Source organism: Homo sapiens, chromosome 14 (genome assembly GCF_000001405.40).
Source record: "Homo sapiens chromosome 14, GRCh38.p14 Primary Assembly".
NCBI lineage: Eukaryota > Metazoa > Chordata > Mammalia > Primates > Hominidae > Homo > Homo sapiens.
The window spans coordinates 74,903,916-74,925,029 of record NC_000014.9 but is presented as its reverse complement, the minus strand read 5'-3'; the positions used below and the strand labels follow the sequence as shown (position 1 = coordinate 74,925,029).

The 21,114-nt window shown below is 54.8% G+C and overlaps 1 protein-coding gene across 30 annotated transcripts, besides 4 other annotated features; it reads left to right on the top strand.

Moving 5' to 3' along the window:
- Nucleotides 1,475-2,245: an enhancer, noted in NCBI's record as "H3K27ac-H3K4me1 hESC enhancer chr14:75389488-75390258 (GRCh37/hg19 assembly coordinates)". NCBI's record gives its function as "activates a minimal SCP1, AML or CMV promoter by ChIP-STARR-seq in primed H9 embryonic stem cells {active_cell/tissue: H9 hESC(primed)}" and the evidence as "EXISTENCE:reporter gene assay evidence [ECO:0000049][PMID:30033119]".
- Nucleotides 1,545-1,604: a silencer, noted in NCBI's record as "silent region_5935". NCBI's record gives its function as "represses an Ori minimal core promoter by ATAC-STARR-seq in GM12878 lymphoblastoid cells {active_cell/tissue: GM12878}" and the evidence as "EXISTENCE:reporter gene assay evidence [ECO:0000049][PMID:35858748]".
- Nucleotides 1,695-2,104: a silencer, noted in NCBI's record as "silent region_5934". NCBI's record gives its function as "represses an Ori minimal core promoter by ATAC-STARR-seq in GM12878 lymphoblastoid cells {active_cell/tissue: GM12878}" and the evidence as "EXISTENCE:reporter gene assay evidence [ECO:0000049][PMID:35858748]".
- On the top strand, nucleotides 1,770-21,079 carry RPS6KL1 (ribosomal protein S6 kinase like 1). 30 transcript variants are annotated; one of them, NR_163404.1, is made up of 14 exons: nucleotides 1,770-1,850; nucleotides 2,545-3,052; nucleotides 3,469-3,753; nucleotides 5,061-5,185; nucleotides 6,425-6,517; nucleotides 13,189-13,236; nucleotides 13,650-13,782; nucleotides 14,882-15,487; nucleotides 15,840-15,929; nucleotides 16,098-16,180; nucleotides 17,500-17,595; nucleotides 17,906-18,012; nucleotides 18,409-18,585; nucleotides 18,878-21,079. NR_163404.1 is itself a non-coding variant. In XM_011537206.4 (14 exons), exons 3-14 carry the CDS (start codon nucleotides 3,489-3,491, stop codon nucleotides 20,146-20,148), a joined length of 1,812 nt encoding a protein of 603 aa, XP_011535508.1. In that variant the 5' UTR covers nucleotides 1,770-1,850; nucleotides 2,545-3,020; nucleotides 3,469-3,488; the 3' UTR covers nucleotides 20,149-21,079. The 30 variants fall into 30 exon arrangements, 27 of the variants coding, with proteins under 27 accessions (XP_011535508.1, XP_016877169.1, XP_011535509.1 ...); NR_163405.1 differs by having other exon boundaries at nucleotides 17,500-17,600; XM_011537206.4 differs by lacking the exon at nucleotides 18,409-18,585 and adding an exon at nucleotides 8,510-8,557 and having other exon boundaries at nucleotides 2,545-3,020; nucleotides 20,031-21,079.
- Nucleotides 2,246-3,017: an enhancer, noted in NCBI's record as "H3K27ac-H3K4me1 hESC enhancer chr14:75388716-75389487 (GRCh37/hg19 assembly coordinates)". NCBI's record gives its function as "activates a minimal SCP1, AML or CMV promoter by ChIP-STARR-seq in naive and primed H9 embryonic stem cells {active_cell/tissue: H9 hESC(naive and primed)}" and the evidence as "EXISTENCE:reporter gene assay evidence [ECO:0000049][PMID:30033119]".

The following is a 21,114-nucleotide window of genomic DNA, read 5'->3' as shown; positions in this document are numbered from 1 at the left end:
ATATGCAAATTTCTCCAGATCCTTGTCAACACTTATTATTGTCTTTTTCGTTGTGGTCATCCCAGTGGGTGAGAAGTGGTGTCTCCTTGTGATTTTAATTTGTATTTCTCTAATGACTAATGATGTAGAGCATCTTCTCATGTACTTATGGCATGCATTTGCATATCTTCTTTGGAGAAATGTCTATTCAAATTACTTGCCCATTTTTAAATGGGATGTCTTTTTATTGTTGAATTTAAGAGTCCTTTATATATTCTAGATACTAGACCCTTATCAGATATATGATTTCCAAGTATTTTCTCCCATTCTATAGGATGTGTTTTAAAAGTTTACTTTTGGGCCAGATGTCATGGCTCACGTTTGTAATCTCAACACTTTGGGAGGCTAAGGTGGGTGGATCACCTGAGCTCCAGAGTTTGAGACCAGCCTGGGCAATATGGTGAAACCCCATCTCTACTAAAAAAAAAAAAAAAAAAAAAAAAAAAAAGGAAATTAGCCGTACTGCAAACCTAGGGTGGTAGGTAAAGAAGTGAGGCCTAGAGTGTATTTTGGTTTGTTTTCTTGTTTTGCTTTTAAGAGGGGAGAAACAAGCATTATGTTTGTATCAGGTGGGAATTATCTAGTGGGAGAGACGGGAGAATCGCTGGAGTGGTGTCGCTGAGTAGGTGATGGCACGGGACTGATGCCCACCTGGAAGGGTGGCCTTCGATGGGGCACAGACAGTCACCTGTGGAAAAAGGTTGGAAGCAGAGTGTGGGCACAGCCCCGCCCGCGGGCCAAGAGCAAGCCTGTGGGAGTCTGTGCGCCACTGCTGTCAAGGGAAGGATGAAGCAACAGTGCTGGCTGAGAGTGAGGATAGGGGGACGGGTGGGAGTCAGAGGGAGAAAGTATGAAAGGGTGTCTAAGGTAGAGCAAGTGCAGCCGGGGGACAGTGTGAAGCCAGTCAGCACTGAACCTGCAGGTGAGATCTGTGTCACAGGGTTGCCTGTGATCTGTTGCCCCATCACCCAGGCTGGAGTGCAGTGACACGATCTCGGCTCGCTGCAGCCTCAACCTCCCGAGCTCACTCCATCCTCCCACCTCAGCCTCCTGAGTAACTGGGACCACAGGCACACGCCACCATGCCCAGCTAAATTTTGTAATTTTTATAGAGATTGGGTCTACCTATGTTGCCCAGGCTGGTCTTGAACTCCTAGGTTCAAATGATCCTCCCGCCTCAGCCTTCCATAATGCAGAGATTACAGGCATGAGCCACCGCACCCGGCCTATGTCTTGAATTTTAAGCTCGGTTCTGATATCAAAAGCCTTCTATTGCTGGGTTCTTTACTCTCGGTAGCCCTCACTAGACTGTAAGCCCCATGCGGATGTAAACAGCGCTGTCTAGTTCACGGCTGTATCTCAACATCCAGCTCCTCATGCATGGGAGACTCTCAATACATAGCATTGAATCGTTGAATAAATGAATGAAGCAATGAATGAGAAAAGTCCTAGAAGTGGCACGTCTAGATTTCTGAAGCAGCCCCTTCCGCATCCCTGGATGATTCTAGACCTGCTCTCCCCACCCACCCCACATCCCATCCCACCCTCCCCTCTCTAAACCGCCCCCCGCCCCTCACAGCCCAGCCGTGCAGACCTTGCGGCTTTAAGGCCGGCAGGAGCCGAGCCGGGCGGTGATTGGTGGTTTATTCTAAGGCTCAAGTATGAGCTCATCCGCAGCCAATGGCCGCGCTGCACCGGCTGGCCCCGCACGCTGGATGCCGGAAAGCAGCGGCCCGCGGCGCGCTCTGGCGTGAAGGGCCGGTACGTGAGGGGGAGGCCTGGCCCGCGGACCCGGCTCCCAGCTCGGGCAGGTACGGTGTTTTGTCCGGTCCCTTCTCCACCCTCCCAGGCGAGGGGCCCCCTCGGCCGTCCCTCCACCCTGGGACCGTGCACCTTGCGGCTGGGGCCCCGTGGGTTGCACGCGCCGCTTTCTGTGTCCAGGCGGGGCCGGCGGCTCTGCCCGGCAGGACCCTGCCCGGCGGGGTGGACCCTGAAGCCAGTCCTACCCGGGCACCCCCCAGAGCAAGGCCTCAGAGCCTCAAGTTCCCCTGGGCTTGGCCGAGCAGGGATGGTGCGGCCTCCCTCTGCCTCCTGGCCGCATCCTGGCCGGGATTCAGCTCCCCGCCGGCTGAGGCTGTGGGTCTCCCTCCCCGCCCCACCGCCCATCCTGCTCTCTCCTCTTTCTCTCCAAATGACCTGGGGTTGGAAGTTCCGGGTCCTGCCCATTCCCAGTGGGACCTGGGAGAGCAAAGGCGGGGTAGCTTTGTGGGCCTCTCTCTGAGCCCCTTCCCTTCCCGCAGCCACGGCTGTCATCCCTTTGGCCGCCTGGGTCACACATTGCTCAGGAAGAAGCTGCTGTCAGGTCCTTGGAGGCCACATGACCTTCTCAAAAGTAAAGCCAGGAGGACAGAGCGACCCTCCCTGGGGCTGGGTCACCCTGCCCTCTTCTACCCCCCATCCAACGTGGCACCGAGTCTGCCACTCAGTCATTCCGTCTGCCAACAGTTCTTACAGCCCAGCTCTGTGCTCTGCTCTCTGCTGGCTCCAGGAGGGGTCCTCACTCGCTGACCACACTGACCTCAGGACCAAGGGAACAAAACACAGCAGGGGCAATCCATCCGGTCCACGGAGAAGTGCTAAACCCCAAAGGGTAAATGAGATTCCCACAGGAGGAGCAGGGAGGAGACAACAGGCAGGGTGGAGGGAACAGCATGAGGAACAGCATTTGAGCCCAGCGTGTGTGGCCTCCATGTGCTGAATGCGTACTGGATACCAAGCTTGCTCTACGGAGGCCCTGTGAAGGTGGCTGTGGATCACAGATATCCTCAGCTCTCTCCAGAGCTCAACACAGTACCAGATGCTCCAGAAATGTTTGCTGAACTGAATTTGACTGGAAAGGAAAACAGAGCCCCAGGCCTGCGCGGTGGCTCACGTCTATAATCCCAGCACTGTGGGAGGCCGAGGCAGACGGATCACTTGAGGTCAGGAGTTCAAGACCAGCCTGGCCAACATGGTAAAACCCCGTCTCTACTACAAATACAAAACATAGCCAGGTGTGGTAGGCAAGTGCCTGTAATCCCAGCTACTTGGGATGCTGAGGCAGGAGAATTGCTTGAACCTGGGAAGTGGAGGTTGCAGTGAGCCGAGATCGCACCACTGCAATCCAGCCTGGGTGACATAGCGAGACTCTGACTCAAAAAAAAAAAAAAAAAAGAAAAGAAAACAGAATCCTGAGCTGGTTATGATTCTATCATTACCACCACTTAGGAAGGACCTGGATCCATGAAAAGACCTTACCCACTTTAGCTCTGACCCCTTCAGTCTTTGGAGGTGAATATGAGTCTCCCTGACATTCAGTGGAGGAAACTGGGGTGCGGATAGGGGTGTTGCTACCAGCTAGGTCCTCCCTAATGCATTTGCCCATTCCAGGTCCCAGCTGCAGGGCAGCCATGAGCCTGGTGGCCTGTGAGTGCCTGCCCAGCCCCGGCCTGGAGCCTGAGCCTTGCTCACGAGCACGGTCCCAAGCTCACGTGTACCTGGAGCAGATTCGCAACAGGGTGGCTCTGGGAGTGCCTGACATGACAAAACGTGACTATCTGGTGGATGCGGCCACGCAGATCCGGCTGGCCCTGGAGCGCGATGTTAGTGAGGACTATGAGGCGGCCTTCAACCACTATCAGAATGGCGTGGACGTGCTGCTCCGTGGCATACACGGTGAGGACCGGGGCTGGGCAGGGCTGGGGTGGGTGGGGAAGGGCCAGTGCAGGGCTCTTCCTGTCACCCATCTGTCTTGTCCCCTGTCCATTTGTACTGAGTGAGCACGGCACTATGCTGGCCTGCAGGGCCTCCATAAAAGACAATGATAGCTGGCACTTATTAAGCAGTTTCTACATGCCAGGTACTATTCTAAGGGCTTCATGTAGATTCATTCATTTGAGTGTCACAGTAATAGAAATTACTATATATGTTGTTGTATGTTGTTCCAAGCACACAGGAACCATTTTTTACATTCTCATGTTCCAGATGAGGAAGCTGAGGCATGGGGCAGTTCAGTAGCTTGCTCAAGGCTCCACAGCTATCAAATGGCACAATTGGGGTTTCACTTCACAGGCTGTGTACTTGGCCCACTACACCTGACTGTTCCTGGAGCTGGGCTGGGCTCCTGCCCTCTGGGAGTTTGCATTCTAGTGGGGGGAGACTGATGAGTTGATTTGGACCATTATAGTCTCAGGTAGGAAGAGGATTAGTGGGGAAGTGAAGAGAGGAAAGAGGGAAACTGAGGTCAGACTGGGCCGGCCTAGAGCATTTTCTAGATGTTAGATCTCTAATCTGAGCACTGGAGAATGGTAGGTGCGTTATCCAGCTGAAGAACTGGCTAGAGTTCCAGAAAGAACATTCAAGGCCTAGAGGCGAGAGGGGAGGTCCCTCCAGGGCAGCATGAGGAACTTCCATGTCAGGGGAGAGGCTGGTGCTGAGGCCATTTTGAGACGCCTGTGGGCCCTGGTGGCCAGGCCTTGAGGTGGGCACTGGGCCCTTCCTGCCCTCTGGCTGAAGAGACCCTTCAAGCCTGGGCTTCCAGTCTGTCCAGCAAATTCCTTTATCCCCCGATCCTGGTCCCCACCCTAGCCTTCTTTACACTGGGCATCAGAGATGGAAGAAGCAATGCTCTCTGGAATCTTCTATCCCCTCCTCTGAAAAAATGGATGGGGAAATCCCCACCCTGTCCCTTCCCAGGGTGTGACAGCCGCCAGCAAGGCGGTGGGTGCTAATGGTGAAGTGCTGTCTGCTGAGGAGTGACCCTGGTTCCTAACCTCCTCCTGCCAGCTCCCTTCCTCCTCCTTCCTGGCTGGCCCCCCACCCCAGAGGAGGGGCTCATGAAGCAATCTGGGGGCAGAATCTGCCGAACCAGCCTTAGAAACAGGAGCTCACTCCTTGGGAGGGTAGAGGGCAGGCAATGGGAGCTGGAACTCCAGCCCTCCGAGGCCATGGCTGGGGACCCTGGTGACTCTTGTCTCCCACAGTTGACCCCAACAAGGAGCGACGTGAGGCTGTGAAGCTGAAAATTACCAAATACCTGCGGCGGGCAGAGGAGATCTTCAACTGCCACCTGCAGCGGCCGCTGAGCAGTGGAGCCAGCCCCAGCGCGGTGAGGAGACCCCCCCCACCCAAAGGCCTGAGCGGGAGGAGGGCTCTGAGGGGAGACTGCGGAGGCCCCGACACCCACAGGCCCGCCCTGGGCTGCAGGGCAGAGGCCGGCAGTGGAAGTCATTATTTGGGCTGGAGTGTGCCAGGGCGGCCCATCTTCTTTTCCTCCTGGCTTCCTCTCTCTCCCACGCCTCATGGTTCATTCATTTTCAAACAACTCACTGAGTCATCTCCAGTCGTCTGCCTCCCTCACAGAGCACTTGCCATGTGTGCACATAGACATCTGCCAGCCTTGCACACCGTTCAATTTACACGCTTATGTGTGTCCACACTCAGAGCCTCCTGATTCTGTCTCTTGTGAACCGGCATGCAATTTGGAGCAGACCCCGACACCCTTGTGTGCACACACACATATCTGTGTGCATGTATGTGCACACACACAGTCCCCACATGGCTTTCTCTAAACCAGTAAGTGTTCAGTGAGGGTGGAAAATGCACGCACGCTTCTTACCCCACGGTTGCGCGTACTCACGCAGCCCTCCTTGGCTCACTGCATCCTGTACGGCTGCCTTTCCCCAAAGTAGGTGCTTGGTCTTCAAGGCACGTTCCCTGAGACTCACACGTTCCCAGGTTACTTCCCTATCCCCACCTTGGGAGCATCTGCATCTTTTGAGATGGAGTCTCGCTTTGTCACCCAGGCTGGAGTGCAGTGGCGTGATCTTGGCTCACTGCAACCTCCGCCTCCCAGGTTCAAGCGATTCTCCTGCCTCAGCCTCCCAAGTAGCTGGAGTTACAGGCAGGCGCCACCATGCTCGGCTAATTTTTGTATTTTAGTAGAGATAGGGTTTCACCATGTTGGCCAGGCTGATCTCAAACTCCTGACCTCAAGTGATCTGCCCGCCTCGGCCTCCCAAAGTGTTGGGATTACAGGCGTGAGCCACTGCGCCTGGCCTAGATGGGGCTTTTGAGAGGGGGCTTCTGAAGCCCAGAGAACTTCATGGGCCTTGGACGGGCTCAGCAGAGAGGTCGGCCTGACCACCCTGGACCAGTATGGGTGCCTATCGGTAAAGGCCAGCTTTTCCACCCAGCCTGCCACTGTGGGGTGGGGCCTGCCTATACCCCTGCCCTCCCAGCTGTTCTCCTTGCATCCAGAAGCCCCTGCCTGATGCCTGGTGAGAAGGCCATGGCCAAGGAGGGCTCGGCCCTGAGGCTGTGTGTGGCCTGTCTCCCTCCTCTGCAGGGTTTCAGCAGCCTGAGGCTCCGGCCCATTCGCACGCTGAGCTCTGCCGTGGAGCAGCTGAGGGGCTGCAGGGTGGTCGGGGTCATCGAGAAGGTGAGTGAGTGGACACTCGCCTTGCAGGAGGGAGACAGTGTATGCAATTTGGGGTGGCGGTGGGGAGAGAGACATGATATGCTGAAAGCAGGTCTGTAGCAGTGGCCCCCACTCCTCCAGAGGAGGTGGGCAGGGGTCAGTGGGGAGTGCGAGTGCAGTTGTTTCCAGCAGTTCCCACCTCTCCCCCATCCCTAACACGCATGACTTTGGTCCTGGGTCCTGGGGAGGAAAATGCAGGGAACGGGAAGAGGCTGATTGGCCAGCCACAGTGGCTCACACCTGGAATCCCAGCACTTTGGGCCAAGCACCAGGCCAAGGCAAGAGGACTGCTTGAGCCCAGGAGTTAGAGGCCAACCAGGGCAACATAGCAAGACCCCATCTCAAATAAAATAAAATATAAAATAAAATAAAATAAAATATAAAAAGAAGAGGCAGACAGGCCCTTTCCACAGCCCTGCAGCTCAGATCCAGAAAACCTGCTCCTTGGGAGAGTTGGGACAGAAACTGCAGGAGGAGCGAGGAGCTATGCCCAGGGCACCCTGCCAGTCCTCGAGGCCCTGCTCACTCCCACTTCCCGCTTCCCACAGCACCCCCACCACACTCACCCTGAACCCCAGGGCTGCAGCCAAGACGCTCTACCGAGCACAGCTGGGGACTTCCTGCGGCTGGGACGTGCTCAACTCCAGAAACCTGTCCAGAGAGGGCCCGTTCTGGCCCGTCCTTGCCCAGGGCCTTGGCAAGTCTGCCCTTTTTTTCCTCTCCTGACCTAACTGTAACTTTACCCTGTCCCAATGCTATCTCGCATGCTTTGCCTTATTCAGGGCAGACAAGAAGATAGGAGGCGACGTCCCAACCCTTACTCGGGGCACTCATTGTTAGAGTGCTTCTGATTAGAAGGACAGACAATGAGGTCAAATCAGAGTCCAGCCAGTATGAGGTTCCCCTCTTCCCCTGAACCCTGGAATAGTCACCCAAGAAGTTCTTTACCAAGCTGGCTAAATGGAGAGCTTCCTAAAAATACAGATGCCCAAGAATCTGTTATTTAACATACTCACTGGGTGATTTTGGTAGATCTGGGGGCCCACAGAGAAAAGGAGACAGTCCTGTACTTCCCACAGGCAAGAGGATGACATGCTGCCTGAGGGAAGGCCCCGCGCTGGGCACCACCCCGGGTGGCCACGGGCAAGCCCCCTGCTCTCTGAGCTGTGGTTTCTTCCTCTGGAAAGTGAGATGAGAATTCTCCCCCAATGGGGTGATCTGGGAGGTAAAACAAAACAATTTTGGGGAAAGACCTGGCACATGCTGTGACACTGAGTACGTGCTTGATGGCTCTAAATACAAGTGACAGGAGTGAGCTGGGAGGCACGCAGGCTTCTGCTCCCGGGCCTTACTCCAGCTGCTTCTCCTGGGTCCCTGGGGCAGGTCCCAGACTGTCAGCGCAGGCCCTGCCAGCTTCCATCTGCCACGGTCCCCTCCCCACTGCTTGAGTGTCAGTGGCCACGACCCAACCTTGGCTGAGCACAGCCGTTCCCAGGGACTGGCCGGGAGGTGACTGACACCGTGCCTCCCGGTACGATCCCGCTGAACCATAGGTGTTGTGGTGAGAGGGGTTCTGAGCTGAGTATGATAGGAAAACAGCGAGTTGAAGTTATATGGCTTTGTTTCTTAATGATCGGAGTTCTTAGAGTGTTTAGGTGCAGATGTACACTGTGACACAGAATTCCCCAAACTTGTTTAGCCTCAGGAAAGTGGTTTAGGAATCCAGTGTTTCGAGGCCCCTGCAGATGGAAAGCACAAATTAAAGCCAAGCCCAACCATTTTTTTTTTTTCTTGACACAGGGTCTCGCTCTGTAGCTCAGGCTGGAGTGCAGTGGCGTGATCTCGGCTCACTGCAGCCTCGACCTACCAGGCTCAAGCAATCCTCGCACCTCAGCCTCCTGAGTAGCTGGGACCACAGTCTCAAGCCCTGCTATTGTCTTCTATTTTTTGTAGAGAGATCTCGCTGTGTTGCCCAGGCTGGTCTCGAACTCCTTGCCTCAGGTGATCCTCCACCTCCGTTTAGGCCTCCCAAAGCACTTGGGATTACAGGCGTGAGCCAGTGGCCCGCCGCATTCTATTTCAGGACTACCCTTCTTTTTTTTCTTTTTTATCCTGTCTTGGGTACTCAACTTAAGGACTTCACCTCCCTCCTGAGATCCTACTTCCTTTCCCTGTGTCATGCCCAAGCCAGGAGCATCACTTTCCTCAAATTAGGAAAGGTGTTACTGCCCCTGGGCCTGGGTCCCTGCAGCCAGACTTGGATATACTGTCACCCTTGTTCCATTCCACAGCTGTGCCCAGACAGATCTGGGCAAGTGGGCAGTGCCAGCCAGCAGCAACCCTCAGGCCCAGGGAGGAAGCAAAGGGCTTGCTCGGGATGATGCTTGAGTGACCCCTAACGTGTCCGGCTGTTAGGATAACTAAGGGCTGAAGAGATGGTGGCAGGGAGCAGTGAGGTGGGTGGGTCGGGACTTGGCAAGCAGCCAGAATACCCGAGGGCCTGGCCTCAGAGCCTGGGGGCCAGGGAGACATCACCGGGTATTTGCTGAGCCTCGTGCAGGAGCCAGGCTCTGAGACAGGGTGGAGGAAGAAAAAGAAGGTCATCCAAGTCACTTCTTCTTTTATTTGGCTTAAACACAGGGGTGTTTTTTTTGTTGTTTGTTTTTTGGGTTTTTTTAGTTGTTACCAACATTTGAAAATGTGCAGATTCTTATAAAAGTCCAGATTTCCTGCTTCTCTTGAAAAAATCAGATCTGGAAACGCTGGCCTCCCATTCCCCTGTGGCAGCAGGGAGTGGAGGAGGAGATGCCTGCCTTAGACGGGGCACCAGCCCTCCTTTCTGCGCCTCCACCCTGCCTATTTGCTCACATGCCTGGCCCCTGTGGACCTTTGAGTTTAAGAACTTGTTTGAAACCTTTAGGCTTGTTTGTTCCATGGGAGAGTCCTCCTGGGATTTTGATACTTTGTGCATCTTTAAAGAAAAGGTTTACCGTGTTTCACCAAAGCTTTAATTGTCCCTCTGTCCCAAGAATTCAGTGGGTCTCTTTATTTAAAACAATTGCTCTTTTTTAAAAGGTGAGAGAAAGCACTCAGAACTGCCTTCCATCTTCCCAAATGGAAGGCTCACCCGACAGTTGTATGGAACCTTCTCATTTACAGAGCTGTGGCATTAAATCCTCACAGTCACCATGGGGGAACGAAGCCTTATAGGGTGCTGTTCAACACAGTAGTCACTAGGCACATAAGCCTCTGTGCATTCATATTCATTAAAATGAAGTCATCTGTGTCTCAGTTGCACCAGTCACATTTCAAGTGCTCAATGGCCCCATGTGGCTACTGGCTTCCATATTGGACAGTGCAGACATATAATCCTGCCATCATGATAAGAAGTTCAATTGGACAGTGCTGCATTTTAATACTTGTCCTACAGAGAATTAAACTGAGGTTCAAAGAAGTCAGCGGGGCTGGGCGCAGCGGCTCACACCCATAATCCCAACACTTTGGGGAGCCAAGGTGGGTGGATCACCTGAGGTCAGGAGTTCAAGACCAGCCTGACCAACATGGTGAAACCCCGTCTCTACTGAAAATACAAAATTAGCTGGGTGTGGTGGCACATGCCTGGAATCCCAACTACTTGGGAGGCTGAGGCAGGAGAATCGCTTGAACTTGGGAGGCAGAGATTGCAGTGAGCTGAGATCACACCATTGCACTCCAGCCTGGGCAACAACAGTGAAACTCCGTCTCAAAAAAATAAATAATAAACAAAGAAGTCAAGGCACTAGACAGTCCTCCATCCTCCAAACCACTGAGTAAAAGGAGTTTCTTGTTTGGTTGGATGAATGGGAAAATGCCTGCTGCTTTGCTGCCCTTTTGAAATATAATGAAAGAAAAAGGAGAAGAAAAAGAAAATCCCCTGAATCCTGCCGAACTCCAAGATAATCACTGTTAATGTTTTAGTCTAATTATTTCTGAATACTGAGGTTGGTTTTAATATGTTTTTAACAGAAATCTTTCAGTGTATGGATCAAGGTTTATTTCTGGCCTCCTCAGCCTTCCCTCCTTCGCTAGTTTTTTTGGACTCTGTCAGTTACAGGCCCTTGCCCAGGACCAGGTGGTGGGGAATCCCACTTGGCAAGGGACAGTGGGGAATTATCTGGGGTGTCAGGATTTGTGGGAAACTCTGTTCTCCTAAATGACTCCAGAGTTTTCTTCCTTGCTTTTTCTAACATTGCACAAGTTTGGTCAGGGAGCCAAGCCCAGGCTGGACTCGGTCTCTGGCTGTTGGAGGAGAGACCTCTGGTGGTTGGAGAGGACACCTCGCTCCTGCTGAGAAAAGGGTCCTGGGCGCTCTCATCTAGTCCACTGCCTTCCTTTCACTGATGATGGAGAAACAGGCTCAGGAGGGAAGGCCATTGCCAGGGTCACCTGGTTGTGCCCCCAGTTCCAGTAAAGTCTGCAGGGCTCCGGGATCAGCCTGTCTGGGTTCAGGTCCTGACTTGACCACTTTTTAGCAGTGGGACAGTAGGCAACATAACCTCTCTGAGGCTCAGGCCTGAATTTTGGCAGGATTGTGGGGATAAAATTAAACAACCTATGTAAAGTGCTTAGCACAGAGTAACCACTTTACAGCCAGGGTGGGCTTCCCCTCGGATGACACTGGTAATAATCACGACAGGTTATCAAGGGTGTGTTCTGCGGCAGGTGCAGGCTGCTGCTCTGCCTGAATTGCCTGCTTTAACAGAATCCTCTTCAGGACCCCCTGAAGGAAGTGCTGCTATGACCCCGTTTTGTACTTAAAAAGAGCAAGGTTCAGAGAGGCCATGTGACTTGGCAGATGTGATCACTGACATTCTCACAGCCTTTCCACTCACCAAGGGCTTTCTTGGTTTTTTGTTTTTTGTTGTTTTGTTTTGTTTTTGAGATGGAGTCTGTCTCTGTTGCCCAGACTAGAGTGCAGTGGCTTGATCTAGGCTCACTGCAACTCTGCCTCCTGAGTTCAAGTGATTATCCTACTTCAGCTTCCCAGGTAGCTGGGATTACAGGCGGGCACCACTATGCCCAGCTAATTTTTGTATTTTTAGTAGAGACGAGGTTTCACCATGTTGGCCAGGCTGGTCTTGAACTCCTGACCTCAGGTGATCCACCCGCCTTGGCCTCCCAAATTACAGGGATTACAGGCATAAGCCACCACACCTGGCCCTCACCAAGGGCTTTCAGAATGGCTTCAACAATCCAGAGATGTAGGGAAGGTAGGCATTTGGAATTCCTGGTTGGTAGATGAGAAAATCAATTCAATTTGCCCAGGATCGAAGCCCAGTGCCCCTTCCCCTACCCTGATCCCAAGCTGTGGCCTTCCTCACTGCCCAGCAGCCTGGCCTCAGGGCCCAGTTCCCACCCCGACCATGGCTGGCCACAGCCTCCCTGGGGAATGTCCGCAGGGCAGGCCAACAGCCAAGGAGTCACAACCCCAGGGTGCTGGCCTTGCCTCCACATGCCCTCACCTGGGCTGAATCCTCTGCCTTCCCGCCCTCGACGTACCCATGTGCCCGCTCCTATGCTGGGGCCCGCCCCTGCCCACCATGCAGATGAGTCAAGGGCCCAACTCCAAACATGGCCCTGACCTTGCGATTGACAGCGTCTGCCTCTAATGGAAACCAACACAAGAAGGAGAGGCTGCTCTCCAAAGACGGCCTCTCAAGCGGACTTTACTTATTTATTTTAAATTTTTATTTGCAGTCAGGAGTACATGTGCAGGTTTTTCACATAGATAAACTTGTGTCATGGGGGTGTGTGTAAATGAAGGGGGTGGAGTGGAGTGGGAAAAAGGCCTGAACGCAGCGTGCCAAGCCCACACAACATGGCTGCGCTGGGGAGACCTGGAGTCACCTCAGAGCTGCGGCTTCCTCAGTTGTAAAACAAGAGATCAGAGGAAGTGACTGGCTCTGAGGTCCCTTCCAGCCATGACACCTCAGACCCTGCAGGATGTTGGGGCTCTAGCTAAGGCCTTGGGTGAGGGGTTGATCTCTGGAGGTCCAGTTGGAACAGGGCTTCTCAGTTGATCTCTGGGGTCCAGGTGGAACAGGGCTTCTCAGCTGATCTCTGGGGTCCAGGTGGAACAGGGCTTCTCAGCCCTCCCGTCAGGTGGCATGAGGCCTGGCCCAGCGTGGGCAGGGAGAGGGCAGGGCATTCTGCTCGCATGCCCACCACGCACACAGTGAGCCAAGGCCCGGGCTGCTCACAGTGCATGTGTCTAGCACCTACTACATCCCTGCACTGTGCAGGGCTCCGGGAATACTGAGCTCACAGTCCAGTGGGAGACAGATTAGACAGTGTGAAGAGGCTCTCCTAAGGGTGAACTAAGAGAGCATTGGAGGCAGATTAGGGACCCCAGCCCCTGTAATCTTGGGAAGGCTTCCTGGAGGAGGCAGCATCTGAGACCACAGGTCTAGCAGGGGTGGGTGAGCAGGATAGGATCGATGTCTGCTTCAGGAGTGCCACCAAAGCCCGCCCTCCCTGCCCTGCCACTGGAGTGAGTCAGCCTCAGTGGAGGAACCTGGGAGGGGGTCAGGCTGGGGTCACGGAGCCCCAGGAGCTAGTACCTGCCTTAACCAGTGCCTCTTGGACTTTGGCAGGTGCAGCTGGTCCAGGACCCGGCAACCGGAGGGACCTTTGTGGTGAAGGCAGGTGCCACCCTGCCCCTGCCACTCTGCATTCCCCTTGGATCTTTCTCAGGGCTCTTGGAAACTCCTACCCAGAACCTGCATTTGAAGCCTGCACTCCCTCCCACAAAAGCTGGTTGTTCTGCCTGAACATGCCCCACTTTCCAGATGGACACACATGCATGCACACACACACATACACATACACATACACATACACACAAACACACATGCACACACACTGCCCCCTCTTTGGCTAGAGGGTGGAGGACCCAGATTCTACAGGGGCAGTGGGGGTAAGGACAGGTCAGGAACTGAGGGAGGCAGTTGCTCCACCCTCATTCGGGTGCCCCTGAAGCCAGGGCTAGGAGGTCCCCTAACAGCAGCAGTCTCTGGCCTGTCCCCGGCTGATCTGCCTGCCCTGCTGCTCCCAGAGCCTACCCAGGTGCCACATGGTGAGCAGGGAGCGGCTGACCATCATCCCACACGGAGTCCCCTACATGACGAAGCTGCTCAGGTACTTTGTGAGCGAGGACTCCATCTTCCTGCACCTGGAGCATGTGCAAGGTGAGCAGGCCTGGGGCCCCCTGTCAGCTCCCCAGGCCTTTGGGGTATGTCGTCAACCCTTAAAATGCGGAGCCCTGGCAGGGCGTGGTGGCTCACGCCTGTAATCCCAGCACTTTGGGAGGCCGAGGCAGGCGGATCAACTGAGGTCAGGAGTTCAAGACCAGCCTGGCCAACATAGTGAAACCCTGTCTCTACTAAAAATACAAAAACTAGCCAGGTGTGCTTGCACGTGCCTGTAATCCCAGCTACTTGGGAGGTGGAGGCAGGAGAATGGCTTGAACCCGGGAGGTGGAGGTTGCAGTGAGCCAAGATCACGCCACTGCACTCTAGCCTGGGCAGCAGAGCAAGACTCCGCCTCAAAAAAAAAAAAAAAAAAAGCTGAGCCCTGGGGAGGGGCGGAGCTTGCACCAGATGTACAGCACAGACCAGGGGACCCGGCCTTTCTGGAGGCCAGTCAGGCTGTTGTGGGCCCCTGTGTGGTACCAAGGGGGCAGGGGACATCCTGGGGTGGATGTCCACATCGTGGGTGGGCGTGAGAATCACAGCTGTCTCCTCTGTCGCTGTTTCCTCCAGCGTTGGCTCTTTTCATTTTTCCGGGTTGTGCCGATCCCTTGGGAGTGGCCAGACAGGGTGGTGGTGACTGAAGTTATGAGGACAGGAACTGGGCCATGTAGCAGATACTGATGGTTGTATTGATGACTTTTTAAAGTGAGGTGCACATCTGGGGTCATGACATATAGTCATCATAAGTGTGTGCCTGACTTTTCTTTAAATTTCTTTATATCGGTCTCCCTAAAAACAGTGTTCACACTAGTGAACCCACCACCCAAACCACAGACACTGATAGTGCTGGACATCTCTCGGTGGTGTGCCAGTTTGTAAGGCTGGGCCCACTTTAGTTGGGTCAAGAGGAGGGCAGAGGGCATTCTAAGCTGAGGGGTGGGAGGGAGCAGAGGTGAGGGGCTGAACTAGGCCAGGACACCCAGAGGCGGAAAGTCTGCGCCCAAGACAGAAGGGAGGCAGGAGTGGGAGCCGGCCCTGGCATCCATACTCTTTTTCTCCCTGTCCCCACGCTCACCGCTCCCTCTGCATGGCCCAGGAGGCACTCTCTGGTCCCACCTGCTCTCCCAGGCGCACTCCCGACATTCTGGGCTCAGCTCTGGCTCTACCCAGGAGAGGATGAAGGCTCAGCTCAACCCCCACCTCAACCTCCTGACCCCAGCGAGGCTTCCCTCAGGCCATGCCCCTGGCCAGGACAGAATCGCCCTGGAGCCTCCTAGGACTTCTCCGAACCTTCTCCTAGCTGGGGAGGCCCCATCCACCAGACCCCAGAGGGAGGCTGAAGGTGAACCCACAGCCAGGACCAGCACCTCTGGCTCCTCGGACCTTCCAAAGGCCCCAGGTGGCCACCTGCACCTTCAAGCTAGGAGGGCTGGCCAGAACTCAGACGCTGGGCCCCCTCGGGGGCTCACTTGGGTTCCTGAGGGGGCCGGCCCGGTGCTAGGGGGCTGTGGCCGAGGCATGGATCAGAGCTGCCTGTCAGCAGATGGGGCCGGCCGGGGCTGTGGCAGGGCCACCTGGAGTGTGAGAGAGGAGCAGGTGAAGCAGTGGGCGGCAGAGATGCTGGTAGCGCTGGAGGCGCTGCACGAGCAGGGGGTGCTGTGCCGGGACCTCCACCCCGGGAACCTGCTCCTGGACCAGGCAGGTAGGTGCCCTCCTCACCCCTCAGTGGGGTGGCCCCCAAAGCGTCCAGGCAGAGGACGAGAGATCCCCAAAGTCGAGGGGACCTCCAAGGTTGTCTGCTCCTCCCTGGCCCCAGCCAGCCTTTCAGGGGGCCTAGGCTGGAGTCTGTTGGCCGAGGCTCCTGGGAGTACCCTGTGGGCTCTGTGGGCCTCAGAGTGCTGTGCCTCTGTGGAGGGTGCTGTGCCCCTGCCGAGTTTCTGCCCAGCAAGGCCATTGGCTCCTACCGCATGACTGTTGGGGGAAGCCCTGCAACCCCCTCCCCTGTATCAGCTGTCCTCAATCTGTCCCCTCCTTTTTCCTCCCACACACTGGAGGTCACATCCGGCTCACATATTTTGGCCAGTGGTCAGAGGTGGAGCCCCAGTGCTGCGGGGAGGCCGTGGACAATCTCTACAGCGCCCCAGGCAAGAAGGGGGGAGGCCAGGGTGGGCCTTAGCACCTGGGTGCCTTTGTGTGGGTTGTGCCCAGAGTCTGAGAATGACAGAGCGGGTGGGTGGTGTCTGGGTAGGCTGAGGAGAATGGAAGAGGCCCTCTTAGGTGAGGCTGGGACACCTGTGTTCTTGTTCCCACAGAGGTGGGTGGGATTTCCGAGCTGACGGAAGCCTGTGACTGGTGGAGCTTTGGGTCTCTACTGTATGAACTGCTGACGGGAATGGTGAGTGGCTGGGCTGGGTGTAGTGCCCTGGTGGGTGCCACTGAGTGTGGGATGGGCCAGGCTTAGTCCATCCAGCCAGTCTGGGCAGAGACTGCCTGGCTGTCCTACCAGCACAACTGCCCCCGAAGCCAGGGACACACTTAGCACTCCCAACACATTAGTTGGCTATAGCTAAGGAGACTGTCAACTTCTATGAATACGAGTAGAGTGGGATGGTCAGGGAAGGTTTCTGCCAGAGAGCCTGGGCCCAGGTGGTGTCAGATTTGGAGGAAGCGCGGAATGTGACACAGCCCTTCTTCCCTGGAAGGCTGTTCAATCATCCTGAGCCCGCTGTTCACTCCTCCCACCCATGACCTCGTTGGCTGTCACCCCCAGACCTTAGCTGGAGGATGGGAGAGAGGGGCTCTTTCACCCAGGCAAGCAGCTGCCCTGTCCAGCCTGGGTCAGCCAAGAGCTCAAAAGATCCCCCTGCAAACACTCCGGGAACCTGTGTTTGCAGGTTGCAATCAGAGCAGGCACTCTTGGGAACAGTTGATGGCTCTGCCTTCTGTCCTCCCCTCATGAGCTGAACACTGCAACTGAGGCCAGTTATGTAGGCAGCAAGGGGGAGGCCAAATTGCATTTGAGCAGGAAATAGCCGAAATGGATGCAGCGTGAACTGAAGTCCAGAGCTGACCAGTCCATCCAGGCTCCCTCCTGCTTTCGTCCCATGGCACGGGGTCCCGAAAGTCCTGGCTGCAATTTCCCCCAGAGTGGCTCTCTCTTTTCCTGTCTCCTCCCACCTCTCCAGCCCAGAGCTCTTGGCCTTCCTCCTGGGGGTTCCTGGAAGCTCATACTTCCCTCCAGACAGACCCTCTGCTCCTCAAAGCTGTGCCTTTCTGGGGTGTGGAGAGGTCCTATTTTCTTTTATTGCCACGCCGCTGCCTTGGCCCCGATGGTAGCATGCCATGGCCTGCTGCCAAATGAACAGCCCGTGTGGATTTTTAAAATAAGGAGACAAGTTCCATCACTATTCCCAAGAGTGCCTGCCCTGATTGCAACCCAAGATAGTTGCTTCTAGCAAGCTTGGAGCCAAGAGACCTAGGTTCAAACCCTGAACTCAGCACAAGTCCCTTTACCTCTCTGGGCCTGTTTCTTGCCTTTCGTGGATAACATAAAGGCACTGCTTAGCCATCAGGCACTGTGTCTGGCTGTAGCAACTATCATTATTGTCATCCTCCTCATGGGCTGTGACATGGGGAAAAAAAATCCTGGCTGCCACTGGAGTGTAGACGGTCCTGGGGTTGCCTCCTCAGAGGCCCTTCCCTGTGTCCTCCCAGGCACTGTCCCAGAGCCACCCTTCAGGAATCCAGGCCCACACCCAGCTCCAGCTGCCCGAGTGGCTCAGTCGCCCAGCGGCCTCTCTGCTGACTGAGGTGAGGTGTAGCCCGGCCAGAGGAAGCAGCTGCCTAGCCTGAGGAAGGTGCTGGGAGGGGCACAGAACTGTGTCTGAACCACGTGTGCTTCGTGCTCAGTGTCTGATGTGGGTGCAGAGGGCAGTAGGGGCAACACATTTCTATATGTTGGTGGCCAACCACCACCAATGTTCCCAGGGTAAAATGGGGGTTCTGTGGGCCAGGCTGCCAGGGAGCAGGCCCCCTAGAGGCCATAGTGGTTGGAGTCCCTGGAGGTCACCCCATGCCTCCACAGCTGGAGTGGCCCAGCTGACTGGGCCTCTCTCTGCAGCTGCTGCAGTTCGAGCCTACCCGGCGCCTGGGCATGGGAGAAGGTGGTGTCAGCAAACTCAAGTCCCATCCCTTTTTCAGTACCATCCAATGGAGCAAGCTGGTGGGGTAAGAGGGCAGAGCGGGTGACGGAAGCAGCTGGCCTGGTCTGGATCGCCTCTCCTCCTTGCCTGACACCCAACCCAGGGCTGGCCCTCTATCAGCGGGCTTTGGGCGAGGAATGGAGGGCACTGTCTGTCCTGCTGGGCTCCCACTGGGGCCTCAGAATTATGGCCACCACCCAGGAAGGGCCAGCTCCTGGAAAAGCTGGAGGTGGGGGCAGTCAAGGCTTGCCCTGCTAAGCAGCTTGAACCATCTACCCATCAGTCAACAGACCCGTTGAGCATGTGGACTCACCATGTTAAAGGTTGCCTTCTGTGGCACTGGCGCTGAGCTGTTGACCACCTGCTGCACCCTACTGTGAGGTTCTGTGACTCACTCACTGCCATGTTGTGCCCCACTCAGGACATCTCTGGAGACTCATCTCAGGACACTGATCCACTGGCTCAGTGGACCCAAACCAGACTGTCCTGGCTAGTCCTCTTAGTCACACAGCGAGTAGGCCTCTTCCACCAGAAGCTGTTCGTGCAGCTGGGGAGGCCCAGAAGCAGGGATGCCATCTGTTGTGCAGGGAGGGATGAGGTAGGGGACAGGATGACCCCCACCCCCACCCCCCCACCCCCGATTCCTGACCATGCCCCCTATCTTGTGATTTCAGACTTGGGAGAGCAAAAGGGAGGGGAAGAAAATAAGAGTAATGGGGGGAGGAAGGAATGCATGGGTCTGCCCCTTAGAGCAAGTCTGAAACCAGAATCAAGAGTCCTCCTCCCCAGTGGGCCTGTGTGGGGGAAGAGGGGCAGCCTGCCCCAGGGGTGCAAGAGGACAGCAATTCAGCTTCCAGGCCAAAGCAGTTTAGACAAGGTGTGCCCATCAGGACTCCCTCTCAGGCCCTGGCTGTTTACCATGTCACTGCCTACTGTGACTTCATGCCCTTTTGGGATAAGAAACCACAAAACGCATGGAACAACTATCCATGGCTCTTAGCCAGAAATGTCTTGCCTCTGGTCTCTGAAAAGCTGGGGTGAGTGGTTACCTCAAAGACAATTGCCTCCAGTTTGGGGGCTCCTCTCAGGGTTCACCCTGTCACCGGGGCGTGGGACCGACCTGGGAAATTTCCACTAGAGTTTTGCCCTCAGCTCCTCCCTGCCAGCATCCCAGTCACCACCAGGTGGCGCTTCTGACACGGTCCACGTGCCTGGCTCTGAAGGCCCAACTGTCAGACCAGACCCCTCACTCATGGTGGGGAGACTTGACTTCCTCGGGCTCTTCAGGAGACTGAGACAGAGAAGACAAGTGAAAGCGCAGCCTGTACATGACTCTCTGTGGTCCACGTCCTGCCTCTCCCTGGGGTTTACACGGCCCCAATAAAGCCTGCTCTGGCCTACGGTGTTCTCGCTTCTTCCATGCAATGACCACGGCTCATTGGGGCAGGTTGGAAGGCTCCCCTGTAGAAGCTCCAGAGTGAAGTCAAGAGCGAGCTTGGGGCTGCCAGGAAGTAGGACGCAGGGCTGGTGGTGAGCAGCATGCCATGTGGGCCTCAGGGGAAGGGGTGGGGTCGGGGAGGACCAGGTTCTGTGGGGAAGAGGATGAAGAAGCCTTGGAAGAGGCTCATGGTGCCTGGGGGAATACCAGTTTCATCCTCACAGTGACCCCTTGCAACAGACGGTAGCTCCTGAGAAAACTGAAGCTCAAAAAGGTTAAGGACACAACCTAGCCAGAGTTGCAAGTTAGTGTTCCTTCTGCTACTCTCCCTAAGTCAGGCTGGACCACTTCCAACCACCGCTTCATGAAGCACAAGTCCCTTCTGGAACTTCTGTGCTTCATCCACCCAAAGCTACACATCTGACACTTTGTTGGGCCCTGAGTTTAGAATACTGTGGGTCCCAGCTCTTACAGTCGACCTCCTTTCGATAAAATGGGGTAAATAATGCCTATTTTGCAGGTTTACCAGATAGATAAATTAAAGCTTCTAACACCAAATCCTGTTCTTCCTTTCATTCAACCTAATTTGTTTTTCTATCTACTAGAGCTCTAGTTCTACTCTCTGGGACCCACTTCCCTCCTGTGACAGACCTTCACAGAGGGATGGCCTCACTGCAAGAGCTCAGCAGACAGGGACTCTGGAAAAGACAAGGCTGTGTTTAAGCCTGGACTCCATCACACCTGCCACCTGCAGTCTAGGTTAGCTACCCACCCTGTACACTCACGCTCACTGACCACTGCTCCTAGGTCATCAACCCTCACCTGTTCATGTGTATTGACCTTGAGCATCTTGGTCCACAAGGCTATCAAATCCAAATGAAATGAGATGCCCCCACTCCTCCCAAATCCATCACTGAAATAATGTAAGCCCACACAAAAAATGCAAGTCTACTGGTGTTTTGAAAGGGCTTCACAAAGATGGTGACCCCAAATTCTCTATTCTAGAGTATGGCTTGACAGGCTCAAGGAAGGTGGGGCACTAAGAGACTATGATGCTTTATGGAAACAAAACAAAAAACATCCTAAGCCCCCCAACCATCTGTATGGACCCCTCGTCTCAGTCAAGGGTATTCCAAAGTTAACCTGAAACGCTAGTTCGGGCCATGGTGGGAAGAGGGAGCCAGCCATTCCTCATTATACTCCCCTCCCTTTTGGAATTACTGTTAAAACAGGCTCCTTAAGTCTGATGAGAAGCATTTACAATCTATTTTCTCTGAAGCCTGCTGGCTGGAGGCTTCATCTGCATAAAACCTTGGTCTCCACAACCCCTTACTGTAACCCAGACATTCCTTTCTATTGATTCCAGGTCTTTAGATAATAACTCTTTCAACCAATTGCCAATCAGAAAATCTTTGATTCTGCCTATGACAACATCCCCAGGTCTTGAGCTGTCCTGCCTCTCCAGACCAAACCACTGTACATCTTACATGTACTGACTGGTATCTTATGTCTCCCTAAAATGTATTAAATGTATAAAACTAAGTTGTAGCCAGACGACCCTGGACACATGTTCTCAGGATCTCCTAAGAGTTGTATCACAGGCCATCAGTCACTCACACTTGGCTCAGAATAAATCTCTTCAAATATTTTTACAGAGGTTGACTCTTTTTGGCAACACTTTCCCGGCTG